Source organism: Homo sapiens, chromosome 12, assembly GCF_000001405.40.
Source record: "Homo sapiens chromosome 12, GRCh38.p14 Primary Assembly".
Taxonomy (NCBI): domain Eukaryota; kingdom Metazoa; phylum Chordata; class Mammalia; order Primates; family Hominidae; genus Homo; species Homo sapiens.
The window spans coordinates 80,590,447-80,607,982 of record NC_000012.12 but is presented as its reverse complement, the minus strand read 5'-3'; the positions used below and the strand labels follow the sequence as shown (position 1 = coordinate 80,607,982).

The window sequence follows — 17,536 nt, the reverse complement described above, 5'->3', positions numbered from 1 at the left end:
ACCTCAAACTCTATAATTAGCTGTTTCTATTCCAGTGTGTACCACTAGGGTGTGAGCTACCTGACAGCAGAGCTTTATGTTTTTCATCCTTGTCTTGATGCACAGAAGCTACTCATAACAATTTGTTCAGTCAAAGAGTAAAAGGAACAATGAAAATGATCCTAAATGCATTAATTTCCAGCAGAATCATCTAGGATGATATTTACATTTTATTAAGATTGACAATTTTTGTTTACACTTTTAAAGTTAAGAGTTTTATCGGTGTGGCTAGTATTTTGTAGAAGACAGGCTGCACAATAAGTCCCAAGTGCAATGCTATGTATTCTTCCTTAGTCTGGGAACCAGTGATTCTTGAATGTTGATAATTACATATTAATGAAATGAGCTGCAGAAGTGCTTTATCAGAGTTGTTCACTTCTACATATCCAGCACCTAGCACAGTTCTGGTACATTGGAAGTATTTTAAAATGTGTGAGGAAGGAAGGAAGGAAGTAAGGGAAGGAGGGAGGGTGGGAGGGAGGAAGGAAGGAAGGAAGGAAGGAAGGAAGGAAATACCTCTACTTAATTCCAAGAATCCTAAAGAAACTGTGAATTACTAGGTTCTATCTGAATCTGTTCTTGCTATTGTTGATCTAAAGGAGTTTTGGTGAGGCTATATTTATGTTGGCGAATTTTATTTGTTATTTAATGACCTTCCCTTTCTCCTGTCAAACCATTGTTGATCTGTTAGTTTTAGCCAAGTCTTAGCTCTGTGAGAAGTTATTCACCGTCTCTGTTCCTTAGATTTCTTTTATGCAAAATGAAGGTAATAATGTTTATATGAAAATATTGCTGGATAACATATAATAAGATAATGAATAGGAAGAGATGAACATGTAACTTGTAGAAAATAAGCAATTAAAATATTTGTTATCTTCCCATTCTACCCTCTTTCCCTTGCTCACTTTGAAACTCAGCAAGAAGGCTACAAGAATGAGATTACAAAATCACTTCTTAATATGTTTTATTTTTTTTGTTCCTTTAAGCAGAATTTCCAAGGGAGAACTATTTTCATTAATAAAGTGCCTTTCATTTGACAGAGTAAAGCTTTATCATTTTATAATTTGTTTTTAATGCATATTCCCAGGGCATTCATCATTCGTGCTAATTATTTTTGGCTAATTACATACTAAAATCTTCACAAATATGCTCTACAAAAGGAACAGAAAATAGAGACTGAATTGGAGAACAAATACATCAACAATTCTTTCAATTTTATTTTAATGATGACAGGTCTTTTGAGATAGAAGCATTATATCTCCATTTAAGGAATACTACAAAGACATAATAAAATTATAAAGTTGGTCAAGAGACAGAGAGAAAGGAGGAGAAATCACTATGCTATACAATTTAATGCATAAGATGCTATTAGAAAACTGTGTTCATCAGGCCCAGCAAAACCCAAGCAGGGTGCAAAGGAAATACTTCCAGTCTTTATTCTGGCTAACAGTTCTGCATTATTGACATCATTGAGCATCCTATCTTATATGAAGGGTTTGACTTTCATACCTGGATTTCCATCCAAATGGCTATCTACTCCCATTCAGTCTCTTCAATGGCCTCTTATTTAAGTGTTGATAGTCCCCAGGGTGCTGTCCTTAGGTTGTCATCTTACTTTGCACATTCCATAGTGAATCTCATTCACTCTTATAATTTTGACTATCTTCTAAATACTAACATTACCCAAATCTGGAAATCCAGAATTTCTCTCCTGAGCTCCAGATCCATATTTAATACTGCCAATGGGTGTATTGACCTGGAGGACTGCCACATATTTCAAACTCAGTGTGTCTAATACTGAACTCATTCCTTTCCTCTACAGATCTGTTCCTCCTCATAATCTTCTGTCATATAACTTACAATCATCCTTAATTATCCTACTCACTCACCATCATGAGTTAGTTGATTTTTCACCAAATTCTATAGGTTTAGATTATTTTTCATTCGTTCTCTTGCTACATTTCCTCTGTTCTTTTTCCTTGCCCTTTTATAGTTTCCTGTCTCCTTGCCTGATTTTACACCCCCCATACTGCTCTCAATCTATCCTCTACACTGCAACCATGCCTATGTTATACAGTAGAAATCTGTATCACCAACTGGCACCCCACTGCCCTTAACATAAAACCCTAACTCTGTAACTTGTTGTATAGTCAGCCTCTGGATCTAGCCTCATCTCTTAGAACTTATTTTTTTTAATGCTATAGCCTGGGATTGCCAAAAGACTTGATTTTTCTTGAATGAGGCTTACTTTTTTACACCCCTATTCCCATTTACCTTTTATGTTCTGCTTCACTTATTTTTCAAGACTTAGCTCTGATGTTATTTTATCTGGAAGATATTTCTCCTAATGCCTTCTCTCTTCTCATTTTGTATTATGAATTACTTTCTACCGTACTGTAAACCAGATATTTGTATTACTACCAATTTAACCACTTGTATGTGTGTATATATACATACATATATATACACATTCTATACACTGATAAAACATATTATAATAATGTTACTAATATCTTATATTTATTGAGCATTTACCATATCTCAGGGAATGTTCCAAGTTCTTTATGCATGTTAACTGATTCAGTCCTCATACCCTGTTTACTATTATTAATCTTTACAGATGTAGACATTGAAACACAAACAAGTAAAGTAATTTTCCTACTGTCTAACAGAGCCAAAATTCAAATTCAAATAGTCTGGTTCCAAATCTTGTATTATTAACCATTTTATACTGGCTTTTACAGAAGGTAAGACATGCCTTACCGATTTGACATCAATCAGATAACATGTTGGTCCAGTAATGACAGCAGGTTCACTCCAGCTTATGCTGATGCTAAAAGGTGATGTTGCTACTACATGAACATTTTCAGGAGGACCATCTGGAGCTATGACAATAGAAAATTAATTATCTAGCTACATTAGAATTAGTACTTGCTACAGCACAATAATAGAAAAGACCATGAAAAATGGATAGTCATAATAAATTAATTTTAATTTTACATTAATTTATATTTCACAGAGTGCTAAAGGCATTACCAAATAAAAAGATCCAATTCTTTAAAATTAGTTACTCTAGATGAACAACTTCCACATGAAAACTTAATTAATTAAAATCATAAGTTCATTATTTTAAAACTTGAAATAATATTTTGAAAGGAAAGCATTACTATTGCTAAAGTAAACCTTTTTAAGCAAATATTTTTATTTTAAAACAGTTAACCTAGCAATGCTGTTTTAAGAAAACCCTTGCAGAAACGTAGTATTTGACTACAGAGAGATAGAGAAGCACAGCTGAAAATTAAAACTGGTATAATGAAAGTATACATATATTGTTTTACAAATGTAAATTGAGTTGATTTTATTGTTTTCACTGAGGGTGGAGAATATGAAATGGTTATTCAATTGTTCTGATCTATTATTAGAAATGCAATCTTCAAATATTTCTTGAATTCCTTATGACTCCAATTAAATTCTTTAATTTGTTCTACTTTCTTAATTTGTCCTACTTTGTTATTTTTTCAGTAACGCAAAACAAGAGACAATATCTTAAAAATGTTTCTGTTTAAAATCCTTATGTGTACAATTTCAATTTGTGAAGCCACTGGGAATTAGGAGAGATAATAGTATGCAGGGAAAGATTTAGCCACAGTTAATTTCACACAGACATTAACCTAAGAACACTGCTGCACACACCTCTGTCCTCCTGGGGCCCCTAGTCAATTCTAATGATATTAAATATTGAGAGATAAGTATTTCCCAATATTTTCAATTTTTAAATACATATGGGCAAACATTATTGAAAAAGTACTATCCCACAGATCCGGAGAAGATATAATCAGGAAGATGAAATATTCCTTTCCTCAAATAACTCATAATCTAGCAAGAATACAAGTTGTATGATCTTGGTGAAACACCAAAATGTTTGGACCTCAGTTTCCCCATCATATGAATATTTTATAGTGCTTTAAAAGAAATTATGAAAACAAAGTATGTAAAAGTGGCTAGTTCAGTATTTGCCACATTGTTGTCAATTACCAAGGTATCATAAAAGATAAAGATAAGGGATAAATAGAAATAAATAACATATAATCTACAATGAGAGAGCAAAGTGATGATACAGATGGGGCAGGGTTGCAAGGTAAAGATGCACAGTGAAGGTGGGAATTGCACTAGTCTTTGATAGATGAGAAGGATAGAGCAGGGTTAGGGGCACTTCTGTGATAAGGGGAGGATCATAGAAAAGCCACAAAGACATAAACAACAGGACCCACAGACAGATAGAGTTGTATTGCTGTAGAATTGCTTATCTTGGTAATGTTATTATTTTACAAGTAAAAAATAAATTACTCTAGGAAGGAGTCAATAAACTTCACCAGATTTCCAAAGGGATTCATGGTACAAAAAAAGATTCAGAATCCCTAAATCCAAGAAACAGAACTATCACAGAGAGACCAGTATTTATGGAGGAATAAAAATGTACAAGCCCAAGTAGTAATTTAGGAATTAAGCTAGAGAGTACCTGATTGTTACGTTAAAGAATTTGGAGTTTATTCTTTAAATAGTGGGATTCCGCTGAGGTTTTTGAGAAAAGAATTATTTTTCCATTGATTTAGGAAGACAACTCAGGTAACTATGAAAAAGTTAAGTTATTTGAAAAACACTGAGTGTAGATAAGCTCTTTCCAAAAGGCCAAGTAAAACATGAGATCCTAAATAAGAATAGTGACAGAAGGGATAGATAGAAGGAGATGAAACCTAGAGTCACTATAGAAAGATTAATAAAAAGAACTCGGAATAATTTGATGTGGGTGCAAATTGAGATAGAGAAAGTAGTAAAAGCTAACTCATGCATTAATATTAGTGAATTTTGGCAGTTCACAACAGCACATTCAGGAACATACACTGATTTTGGTGGGGTAAGACTATGGTAGGAGATGACAAATTTGGATTCATATTCATTGAGTTTGAGAACCTCCAGAAGTCTGAGAGGCCTATCTGGCAAATGGAAAGATGAGCTTGGAATGAGGCAAATAGGATCAGAATGGAGAAAGTTTCTGTCTTTGTTTTTAAATTGCAGATAATTTCTTGCAAGTTGGGATGGTATAAATATGGGCAGTATATCTGGTTCAAGTGAATCACATGCTCTGAAGAGAGTCAAAAGGTTTATTTCAATACTAGAGAGCTATAAGATGTTACTATCATTTGAACATGTCCCCTCCAAAATTTAGATGTTGAAATACAATGGCCAATGTGATGGTATGAAGAGGTGGGGCCTATAAGAGGTGATTACGTCATGAGAATACCTCCCATGGTGAATGGGATTAAGGTCCTTATAAGACAGGCTTCACTAAGCATTTGGATAGCTTGCTCTTCTGCTTTCCACTGTGTGAGGACACGCGTTCCTCCCCTCCAGAGGGTGCAACCCTCACCAGATAAGCAAATCTGTCTGCACCTTCATCTTGGACCTCCCAGCTTCCAGAACTATAAGAAAACAAATGTCTATTCTTACAAATTACCAAGTCTCTGATACTTTCTTATAGCAACACAAAACAGACTAAGAGATTAATAGTGGTGACAATCTTTAAACTGTGAATAAGTAATTGATATTTAGAATATATTTCTTAGGCATATAACATTATGTCTATGGAATTTAGGTGCACAACTCAATCCAAAAATATTTTAATAATAGCATTGACATATTTTAATAATAGTACTTGAATATAACTATACAGGAATCTAGAAAATACATTTCAGGAACTTTCAGTGAACAAATACCTTTGGAGTGACAAAGATACTCTTCCTATTTGTACTTCTGAAAACTGTACAATAATCTGAACATTGACACCCCGTACTCAAAGATCCAGTTTTACATTGCCAAGAAAACATCCAGGGGAGAGGGTAAAGAAAGAATGCTCCAGGATTCGATTTGATGAGCTAAGAGATGCTAATGATGAAGACAGAATTGGGTACACAGTTTCTGCAACAACTAAGGTATCAAGGAATCATACACATACCCTGCATAAACAGACATTTTCATTCTTTTTACTGCTAGCTTTATGGTCCTAGGAAAACTGCCTCAAATTGTAGCCTAATTCATTTAGGTAATTATACATAACAGATGAGAGCTATAAGAGGTCTCCTGCCATCAGCATAATTAATTGCCTTGAAAAATATAAATATAAGATGCTTTGTGGGTTTCAATGGCCTCTCTTCTGCCTCTGACTCTATAAAAGGGGATGGGATATGACCTCTGTATAAATGTATTAAGGCTCCCTTATTATTAATGTTATTTGAAAAATTTGACTTCCAGCTCTGTAAGAACCAGTGTGGACAGAAACAATTTTCTGATCGGCCACACATTTCAAGTGGTATAAAACAGGAAAATATTTTAGAGTCCCCTTGTCTTTATTATAACCAAATGTTTAGTTGGCCTTGAGAATAAATTTATGCATTCATTGAATGAATAAATATTTATTAAGTGCTTACTATGTGCTAGGCACTAAGAGGACAAAAAGCTCATACAGGTGATCAAGGTAGCTTTGGATCCATCCATAAAGCTTCTACTGTTTAACCCTTTTCATTTAGCAACAGTTTACTGAACACCTATGGCATGCCAGGCACTTTGGAAGTGCTGGAAATATAGAAGAGAACCAAAGAGACAAAGACCATGGAACTTCCATTTTAATGGAGAGAGACAAATAATATATATTAGAAAAATATAAATAAATGAATATATAATACACAAGTAAATTATATACCATGTTAGGAAGTATTATGTACCATGGTGAAAAATGAGACAAGGTCATGGGCATGAAGATGCTTAGGGCGTTACTATTTTAAATATAGTGGTCAGCTCATGCCTCACTAAGCAGATAACATTTAAACAAATATTTGAAGGAGGTAAGGGAATACTGTTTGGCTGTTTGGAGAAAGAGTGTCCAGGAGGAGAATGGCCAGCGTGAAGACCCTGAGGCAGGATTTCGCCTGGTATGTCCTAAGAATAACAAGGACCACAGTGAAGCTGAAGCCCAGTTGAGTTGGAATGAGAGAATCCGAGAGGAAATGGGGGCCAGAAAATGTAAGGCCGTTAAGACCAGCGTTAATGTCTTCTTTTGTTAGGATGGCTATTGTGAACAAAAAGACAAACGCCATGAAGTAGAAGGGGCTGTGATAGACTGTGATCCTTGGTATCTAACTCATACCAGAAAGATGGGCTAAAATTAATTACGTCAAAAAGGAAAGATCATCTCCAACATCTATTTGATTCATGTACCTCTGTAACATATACTACTCGATGCTGTTGGGACTATACTTTTCAACCTAACTCATTCTAGCAAGCAAGTAGAGTGGCACATTATCGTTGCCCAGACATCATGAAAAATGTATTGAGAATTTTCTGCGGCTAAGAAAGTTGTGAGATTTTTCTGCGGTAGCTTGTATCTGGAAAAATTTCTGTATCTCTGCTCTATAATGGCTTCTTCGGGTCTCATTTGAGGACAAAGTGCAAAGTTTTCCCAAGGAAAACTCTGGCTTGTGAGTGTGTCTGTATGCCAGCTCAGAAAGAAATATAGCGCTTTGCTTTCAACTTCTCTTCTTTCACAATAAAATGTCAACCCTGCAATCATTCCTTTAATACTAGCAATCAAATCTCTCATCAGGGAGTGTGTGACCCCAAGCAGAGGTAAGAGAAAAATGACATTCAAAGATCATTCATGACAACACATATAATCACCTATACTACTAAATATTTTAATTTCCTTGCACTGATCAATCATTATAAAAAAGCAAGGTATTTAGCCCCTTGCTGAGCTATGCTTTAATGCCATTTCTTGAACTTTTCCAAAAATCGTTTTCCCTTCTTTCTTCATTTTTTAAAAGAAACAATCACTGTAAACAATGTTTGCATTTTCAGTAAAGTTCTTGATAAAATTGCCTGTCTTGTTACACAAGTTTTCTGTGTTGAATCCTTTGCCAAAAATTTCCTTCAGAATGTATTTTGTCAACTTGTATTCTTGAAGGATTAGAGCTCCTAAATCCAAACTGAAAAATAAAAGTAAACTTATATAACTGAATATATATTAATATATAATATATAACAATATGTGTTTCACCTGTCTGGAGCAATGAAAGGTAACTGTTTGATTAATTCATAGGTAATTTAAGAGAAATATTTAGAACACCAAAATGCCCATCTATTATAAAACAGCACTTAATTATTTTAGTATTGTAGAGTATTATAATATACTTAAATACATATAAAATTATTTTAGGTATCTTTCTTATGAAATTTAACAAAATCCCAAAACATATAATAAAATATATCCAGCATTTTCCCTTTTATCACAGCATATAGTAAACTATTACTAGTGTCACATAAGGGTGGCTACAGAATTACATTTATGAATGTCAGCTACAAAAATAAATGGAGCTGATGGTGGCAAAAGTATGAGGAGTTGAAAATATGCCAGTTTAAAAGCTTAGTAACTTATAAGCATCTTTGGGAGCTTTGTTTGTCTCCCCATAAACTGTCACATTCTGATTTAGGATTGTTTGTGAAATGAATCTAGTCAGTAATGGGCCAAGATATCACTATACCCTTTCTCTTATAAATCACAGCAATTTACTCAGTAGGAATGATCTATCCTTATTCTCTCATTCCCCATAATCCAATCACTTCCTCTCATAAGCACTTTCCCCCTGGTTTTCACCATAATGCATTTTCTGTAACTAACAACCATCATTTCCTGATTATCATGCTTCTATCCTTGCACAGGAATGTGGGTCTTATGTGGGTCAGGGTCATCTTTCCCATCCATCTGTGTCTTGATGCTGAGTGTGTTAGCTCAAAGGTGAGTCTGGATAGACCATCATTTTGCCTAGTCCATATAAAAATTTGAATGCCCCCATCCATGCCACTTTGTTTAAGAATCAACAAGTTTTGTTGTGCCTGATACTATACTTTTAAAATAAGCACATTCAAAGACTTATTTGTAACTTTGCCATCTGCAGATCCCTGTAAGTCTAACTTAATAGTGGAAAATATTCTAGAAAATACTCTATGGTTTTTAGTGTACCTCGTTATGATCACTTTCCTAAAAGAATAAACATAAATGAATATATGGTTTAACATCAACTTACAAAACAGAAAACTTCAGCTCTATATACCTTCAATTTAAATTGTCTGCACAATTATTTGAATTTAAGTTCAGTATAAAGTTTATTAAAAGGGCCTACCACTCAGGGTGTTTTAGTTTCAGAATTTGGTGCACTAGGCCACCAGATTTCTAGTGACTGTCATCACTAAGTGAAGGGCTCTGTCCTTTCTCAGCTATACAAATATTAACAACTTCAAGGACTACAAGTCGACTTTGACTCAGCACACCTGGACAAATTAGCACTGACTGTTAGATGTCTCTCAGGACTAGAAGAAATCCAACTCGCTGGTGGATTCCTGTGTCTTAAGCAATTCAGGGCATCAAGGGCCCTGAAGAAGCTCTGCAATTGGATTCATCTTATTTCCACACAGCAAGAGTATCTCAGGACATATTCCTGTCCACTGGTTAAAACACTTTGATAACTGGCTATCCTTTTGTAGTTTGGATGTTTTCCTAGAGCCCAGTGATTTCGCTGACCAAAACGCATCACCACTGTCAGTGTAGGAAATATTTCCTATCATTTTATGAGATGTTAAGTGTGTTTTCTAATTAGATTTCCTAACCGCAAGGTGGTGCTGCAGAGGGTATAGCACAATAGTGTTACAAATACAGTAAGCCTAAGAATTTGTCAGATTAGATTCATGAATACTAAGAATGATTCATGGATGTTCATAGTATTAGACCTCACTGTATGATCATCTTATTTGATGCTTAAATGAGTTATTTCCTGACTAATTTCAGACTGGCTTAAGCTAGAAAAAAAATACAAAATAGAAAGAAAACCTCTCAGTTTCAATACTGGACATGCCAGGTAAGAATGAAAATATTCTAATTACTACTATTACTTTGGAATCAGAGAATACATATTTTCTGAGAATAGCATCATGTTTATAAAACAACTTTCTACAACAGTGGTCCTCAAAATGTGTCTCCAGGCCAGCAGCATCAACATCACTGGGGAAGCCATAGAAAAGCAGTTTCTGAGGCACTACCCCAGACTTACTGAATCAAAAACCGTGAGTGTGGGGCTTAGTAATTAACAGTCCTCCAGGTGGTTGTAATGACTGTAGTTCAAGTTTAAGAATCACTGCTCTATAACGTCGACATGCCATTTGAAAAAATAGTGACACTGCTCTTCAGATTAGATGACCAATGATTACAACTCTTAGAAATGAGTGGATTGGAAAAGGGGATTGAATTACTCCTTCTGTGAAGACTAGGGAAGTAGATGTAAAGGAAGTTTGGGAGCTGGTAATCAACATGGAAACATGTATCAAGCCATCAAATATTCCACAGACTGGTCTCCTATCTTTCATTCTATTTTAATTCTGGATAAACTATGAAGAGGGTTCTCCCTACTCACTTCCTCCAATTCCCAAAGTTTTTAGAACAACAGGTCAGCGTGTTCCATTAGAGCATAAAATATCACCATTTTCATGCTACCATGAAGCTCTGCATTGGAACAAACTGGAATAATTCAGGTAAGGCCATCGTCATACTGGAGTCTTAGGGCCAGGATAAATCTTGCTATTTTCTTCTCCTGTTCATTTGTATGCAGGCATAATTGGGGTAAAAAATATCTAGGATATCATTAAAGAAAAATGAAAATCAAGGGTATCAGAAACCTCAAAAGTATAATTTTGAGGTGCATGTCAAAATTCTCACTCAATTTGTTTTGGGAGATGATTGGACAGTTGGATAGCTTCTCTATGTCATATCAGTTAGTACCTCTCCATCTCTTGGTACTTTTCTACCACCCTGAGGCTTTGCTCAAGTCCTAGTCAAGATCTAAGAGTGTAGACTCTGTGCTAGAAATAAAGACTTATGAATGAATCAATGTTTTAAGTACTTAGAATAGTACCAGCACATAGCAAACACACAGTAAGGTAAGTCATTGCTAATATTCTTAACTGTGCAGCCTATGGATCTCAATTGATTTACTAGGCATGAACAAAAAGTGACCAAGACACCATACATAGTAATCCCAGGATTTTTCTATAGTTTGGAATTTTCATAGTTAAATCAGAATTCTTTCTTGGTAAATGCAGAAGAAATAGGAGCTGAAATTTTGCTGACCTAGGGCCTAATGCTGAGCTAGAACTTAGAACTGAGGTTAAAGACAAAAATTCACAATGTATTACACCTACTTTACACTTCTTGTTGAATGGACAGAAAGAAGATTCTCAGAAGAGTAAAAGTTAATTCAATTCAATGTGAAATTTAGTCTGAGATCTCAGAGAAAATAGGAGAATTCATTTGAAGTTTAAAAAGATAAAATACAGCTAAGCTATTAATGGGGAGAAAATTTCCTCCCCTTTTTCCTTTATGAAAATCAGACTTTCTAAAATATTGATGATTTAAAAAAAAACAGTGATAATCTTTACACTTTTCTTTGTTTGATTTTTAGTGATTTTGCTACAACTTTCTACTTGCTTATGTAAATAGGATTTCAAAAACAAGTATTTTTATTTAAATTCTAGAATATTTGCATCATAATCTAGCATAAGGTCTTTTGACATTAAATATATAGTTGAATACTTTATTAGATACTTTAATGTTATATGCTTTCTATCATTTCCTTTAAATTATGATTTCACCCATATATCTCCTCTTTGTAATCACACTTAGCACTCTAAATTTAAACATTGTTCTTCCCCTTTGTTCTTTCATGGACCATCAATCTATTATAACTCTGTCTCACTATACATACTTATTACCAGCTAATTATCTCAGTTAATCATTTAGATATTTTTAATGCTTCTCCAATCTATTCTGAAATGGACATTTATTATTTTCCTTCACTGTTTGAAATATTTCTAAATGCAATAATTATTTCCTTTCTATATGCAATAATTCATATTTCTTACATGCAATACAAATATTTCCTATATGCAATAATTTATATTTCTTATGTTAATTAATGAAAAGGAAAATCACAAAATGATCAACAATATAAAATATACTGGTTTTCAAACACCGCATATTCTCTCTCATAGGTAGGAATTGAACAATGCGAACACATGGACACAGGAAGGGGAACATCACACTCTGGGGACTGTTGTGGGATGGGGGGAGGGGGGAGGGATAGCTTTAGGAGATATACCTAATGCTAAATGATGAGTTAATGGGTGCAGCACACCAGCATGGCACATGTATACATATGTAACTAACCTGCACATTGTGCACATGTACCCTAAAACTTAAAGTATAATAATAATAATAAATATATACTGGTTTTGTGAAATAAAAGAAGCTGAATATATCAAACATGAAAAGCTACTGGCCAAGAGAATTTTAATTTTGGCAATAACAATGCAAGCATTTGAAAGACAAGCATTAGACCAAAAAAATTAAAAAATATCAGCATGAACTATTTTAAAATATGGAGAATTTTGACACTGTAACACTTTAACATTAAAGTCAAATGCCTTTCTTCCATATTCATAACAAATCTTAGATTAAAAGTAGGCACAGGGGACAGAAAGGTACATAAGACATGCGCGGCTGGCTATTTATGCTTTTAAGGAACTCAAAGCCCCACTAAAGAAAGAGAGAGAAATAACTATGATGTAATATGCTCACTTGTTGAGAAACAAATTTTGGGAGGTGGGACTGGAAATAAGGATTTCTGAAAGGTTTCTCAAAAGAGATACTTAAAAACATAGCGAAAACAAAGCTGGTCACCAGAAGAGGAGGAAAGAAAGGACAATAAGAAAGAATAGCAAAGATTCTGGATCATAAAGGAGAAAGAACAGTGCATGTGTGAGAAATATAAACCAAATCATAAGTGACCTTGTAGAACTTACTAATGGGCATAGTTTTAACATGCAGGCATGTAGAAAATGATCAAAGATTTTCAGCAGAGGAAATTCATGGTCAGGCAGGTGTATTGAAATGCTGAGTTCAGGTGAATGGTAGAAAATGAGAGCAGAAAGACCATTTAGATCTCTTTTGTAATTATCTAAGAGATAAATGTAAAAGTCTGGATTTAGAGACACTTGAAAAGAAAAATAAACAAATACAAGAGATATTTAGAAGGTAAATACAATAGGACTCAGGTTTTGCCTCGTGGGGGATGAGAGTAGGTAAAAAGAACTAACAATGATTTCTAGATAACTAGTTTGAACAACTAGATGAATAGTGGTGCAGTAAACTGAGACACGGAACACACAGAAAGGAAAAGACTTGCAAGGGAAGGTGGCAATATGGAGTTTGAGATGTCTATGGGAACCTAAGTGGTTATACCAATAACTTCAATATTCGGGCCTAGAGGACAGAAATGTTGTCTTGAATTACCCATTAGGGAGTCCTGTGTAACTAATTTAGAAGATTTTCAACAGCATCTAACTAATTTTGCAGAAGTGCAACCATCATGTCTAGAATAAATGATATTTATTTTCTCTAGTGGCAGCAAGATGGAGCCCATCCTAATACTGCACTGCCACCAAATGAACTTCTAAATGTCTTGAATTATAGACTCCTATTTACTTATGGCTAAAATCACTTCTTACCATTATATAATTGCTTCTTTATAAAAAGGATAATTTCTACCTCTGTTACTATAACACTTATCACATAAGTGTATTACACAGTTTAGAAAAAACTAAGGAAAACAACTGATATTTAGTAACACATTGACAATTTTTAATTTTAAATAATGTTAAAGTGTACTTTGCCCTCTATTTGGTTTTCTTCTTTTTAGATCATAAAGTTGCATTCCTTAGAAACTTCTTTGATGAGGCATGTTTTGTTGAATTTTTTTTAACCTAACAGATGTTTGGGTAGTTAAAATTCCTCATGAGTATGGTATCCTGTGGTTTTCCCAACCTAAGTGTTACCCCAGGAATTTTCCTTTCTTGCTGTCTTCCAGTCTTGGTGGTCTATAGGAGACGCACATTATGAGAGTCCCATTCCATTTCATACTAATTTCACACCCACACTCCTTTAAAGTTGTACATTTCCTCAGCATAAGTATCTATTGTGCACCACAGAAACATTTAACAGCTTGTGACTTTACATCACCACCACATATATACACACACCACTCAAACTGCTTTTGACTTTAAGGATAATCAGAAAAATAGATGAGTAAAATAATTTGCATGACTGTAATGTTTCAAGGTAAATATTTCTGCCATTTTTTAAAATTTTTATGCTTATATTTGTATCTATACACTCTCAGCATGCAGTAGGATTATGGCTATTATACGGATTAGTTGAGAACAAAAGCAATTTGGCTTCAATGATCTAGGTGAGAGCATGTGAGAGAAAGAATGGTTAGCTTGAGTTGGTTGAATATTGTTTCCCTTATTTATTCTGTTTTACAGGTGTACACTCAGATTCACAGGGTAATCCAATTTAAATCTCAGCTTGCATTCTGACTTTTCTTCCTGATCTTCAATTTTGATGCTCTTTGTTATGGGCTCAGATAGTTAATGATAACATGTTTTCTGATTATATAATCCATTGTAGAAACTTTTATAATATTTATTATTAAAACTAGGTGGTCTTTTATTGGAGTTACTCAAATTTTAAACAATTTGATTTCAAACTACCCATTAATCAATAACTCTTTATAGAGAAGATCCAGGTTTTGACAAGATGTTATATTAGTAAGTGCTTGAGTACAACTTTATGTCATTAGGATAAAATGCAGTTCTCTGAGATAGTTATTTTGTACTATTTTATATTGTTGTTTAGTCTTTTCTCTAATTCAGAGAAAGAGTTATTATTTTATTTTATATCATGAAACAACATATTGCATTTTTATTTTATTTTTGAGATGGAGTCTGGCTTTGTAACCCAGGCTAGAGTGCAGTGGCACAATCTTGGCTCATTGCAAGCTCCACCTCCCGGGTCCAAGCAATTCTCCTCCCTCAGCCTCCCAAGGAGTTGGGATTACAGGTGCCCACCACCATGTTCGGATAATTTTTTGTATTTTTAGAAGAGACAGGGTTTCACCATGTTGGAAAGGCTGATTTCAAATTCCTGACCTCAAATGATCCGCCCGCATCAGCCTCCCAAAGTGCTGGGATTACAGGCATGAGCCACCACATGACTCATGCCACATTTTTAAGTGAATTATACATAATACAAAACTTATTAATATTCTTCATCCAAATTATTTTTTGAGTTTGCAACATGGCCATTATATTTTCATCTTTGGTATGCAGAAGCAACATCTATGAATGCCTTATTTTTAATATTAAAAGGATTATTGCTCTTCAAGACTTCCGTTACTTAACTGTTATAATTTCTTTTATTCTTATGTTATTTCACCATATATATTATGTTGCAATAATATATGCAGTTCCCCATATAATCTCAAATTATCTCTTCCTGACTTAATATAATAAATAGAACTTTTATTTTGATGTATAAATTATGAAATTTGGAAATTCAATTGTACAATATTTATCATTAGAAAAATGTCTTCTATTCCATTGGAAGCAAAAATTTCCTCCATTCTTGAAACTAAAAGACGAGTAACCAACTCATCGTCAAAATTTAAAGAATTATCCTCAACCACTTATGACTACTTAGTTGAAAAGCTATGAGTTTTGAGAATGCAATCATATGTTTGTTATCACGAAGTTGAAAAATATAAATCTTTTCATCTTTCTCTCCTAATCACAGTGGTAGAAAGACCATTTCCCCTGTGTCTCCTGGAAATAAAATATGGCCATAGAACTTAAACGGGGGTAAGAAGTGGAGGAAATAGGGTGGAAAGAATGATATTCAAGTGGAAAGACTTGAGAATGTAGGATTATTTAGAAATCCAACTTTTCAGTTTCATTTACCAACTTCTGAACTGATCATGTTATATGTTGTTTTATGCTAATTAAACATCTTGTATAATAGTGTCAAGTGTGCTTGCAAGAGACTGTGCATTTAAAAAGTTCACTTCCTGGCTCAGTGTGGCAATTAGAAGCAGGTACTCCCCAAGTGAGATACTCAGAATAGGAACTCTTAGTGGCAGCAGGCACAAAGGCACAGGCATAATTTAACCAAAGGTTACAAATCAGCTGTCCACAAGCCAGATCTAGGCTACTGATGTATTTGGTTTTGTTCTCTGGGCATTTATTTATTTCTGTTTTCTAGTTATATTAGAATAGCTATTTCTTGACAAAATCAGCAGGTTCAAAATAACCATACCTACTGACTAACCCCAAAGTAAACTGAATTTTTTCTATATTTTTGCTATCTTTGTTATAGTATCGTCATCCTTATCATCACCTGCACTGGAAAACAATCTGTTTTGTCCTACCCACTAGAACTTAATGAATCAAATTTCTCTCATTCAGGGAATATTTATAGAGTATCTACTGGTACTGGGAACTATTCTAGACAATAAGAAAATATGCGTGGGATGGTAGCTCATGCCTGAAATCTCAGCACTGTGGGAGGCCACGGCAGGAGGATCACTTGAGCCCAAGAGTTTAAGACCAGCTTGGGCAATATAGTGAGACCTCATCTCTATCAAAATTGTTTTTAAAATTAGCTGGTCACAGTGGCGTGTGCCTGTAGTCTTAGCTACTTAGGAGGCTGAGGTGGGAGGATTACTTGAGCCCAGGAGGTCGAGGCTGCAGTAAGCTGTGACCGTGCCCCAGCACCCCAGCCTGGGTGAAAGAATGAGATCCTGTCGCAAAAAAAAAAAAAAAAAAAAAAAGCAATGATCAAGGCAGATCCTAAACACAAGCAAATAAAAATGATCGTGTAATTATAAATGTTCATTAAAATAACATGATATTATATAAGATTACTGCATGACTATTTTTAGATTGAGTGGTCAGGGAAATTCATTCTGATCAGGGATCATTTAAGTAAAGATCTACGTTATAAGAAGCTGCTCATGTGAAGAAGGAGGTGGAAGAACATTCTAGTCAAAAGAAACAGGGAATACAAAGATGCAAGTTCTAAGAATTTATTTTGTGTAAGCAACAAAAAATGTCTAGTATGAGTGGAAGACAATGGTATGGGGGAAACATGGCTATAAATAATGTTAAAGTTTAAGGTAAAAGCCAGGTCATATAGGGCTTGTTAACCATGTTAAGAAATGTAAAATTTATTCTAAGAGCCATGGGAGTACATTGGATAGTTTTTTTTTTTTTTTTTTTTTTTTTGAGACGGAGTCTTGCTCTGTGCCCAGGCTGGAGTGCAGTGGTGCGATTTCGGCTCACTGCAAGCTCCGCCTTCCGGGTTCATGCCATTCTCCTGCCTCAGCCTCCCGAGTAGCTGGGACTACAGGCACCTGCCACCATGCCTGGCTAATTTTTTGTATTTTTTAGTAGAGACGGGGTTTCACCATGTTAGCCAGGATAGTCTCGATCTCCTGACCTCGTG

The 17,536-nt window shown here is 34.6% G+C and overlaps 1 protein-coding gene and 1 long non-coding RNA gene across 2 annotated transcripts in view, besides 1 other annotated feature; one reads left to right on the top strand and one right to left on the bottom strand.

Annotated features, from left to right (window-relative positions):
• The window catches only part of PTPRQ (protein tyrosine phosphatase receptor type Q), a 236,039-nt gene that overhangs the window by 72,291 nt on the left and 146,212 nt on the right, over positions 1-17,536 (bottom strand). The window contains exon 27 of the mRNA NM_001145026.2: positions 2,803-2,924. Coding sequence (NP_001138498.1) covers positions 2,803-2,924 — 122 coding nt within the window. The remainder of the gene's footprint in view (positions 1-2,802; positions 2,925-17,536) is intronic.
• LOC105369867 (uncharacterized) overlaps positions 1-17,536 on the top strand; it is a 176,665-nt gene that overhangs the window by 99,256 nt on the left and 59,873 nt on the right. The window lies entirely within an intron of this gene.
• Positions 9,699-9,993: a silencer, noted in NCBI's record as "tiled region #7448; HepG2 Repressive non-DNase unmatched - State 13:Ctcf". NCBI's record gives its function as "represses a minimal TATA promoter and a strong SV40 promoter by Sharpr-MPRA in HepG2 cells {active_cell/tissue: HepG2}" and the evidence as "EXISTENCE:reporter gene assay evidence [ECO:0000049][PMID:27701403]".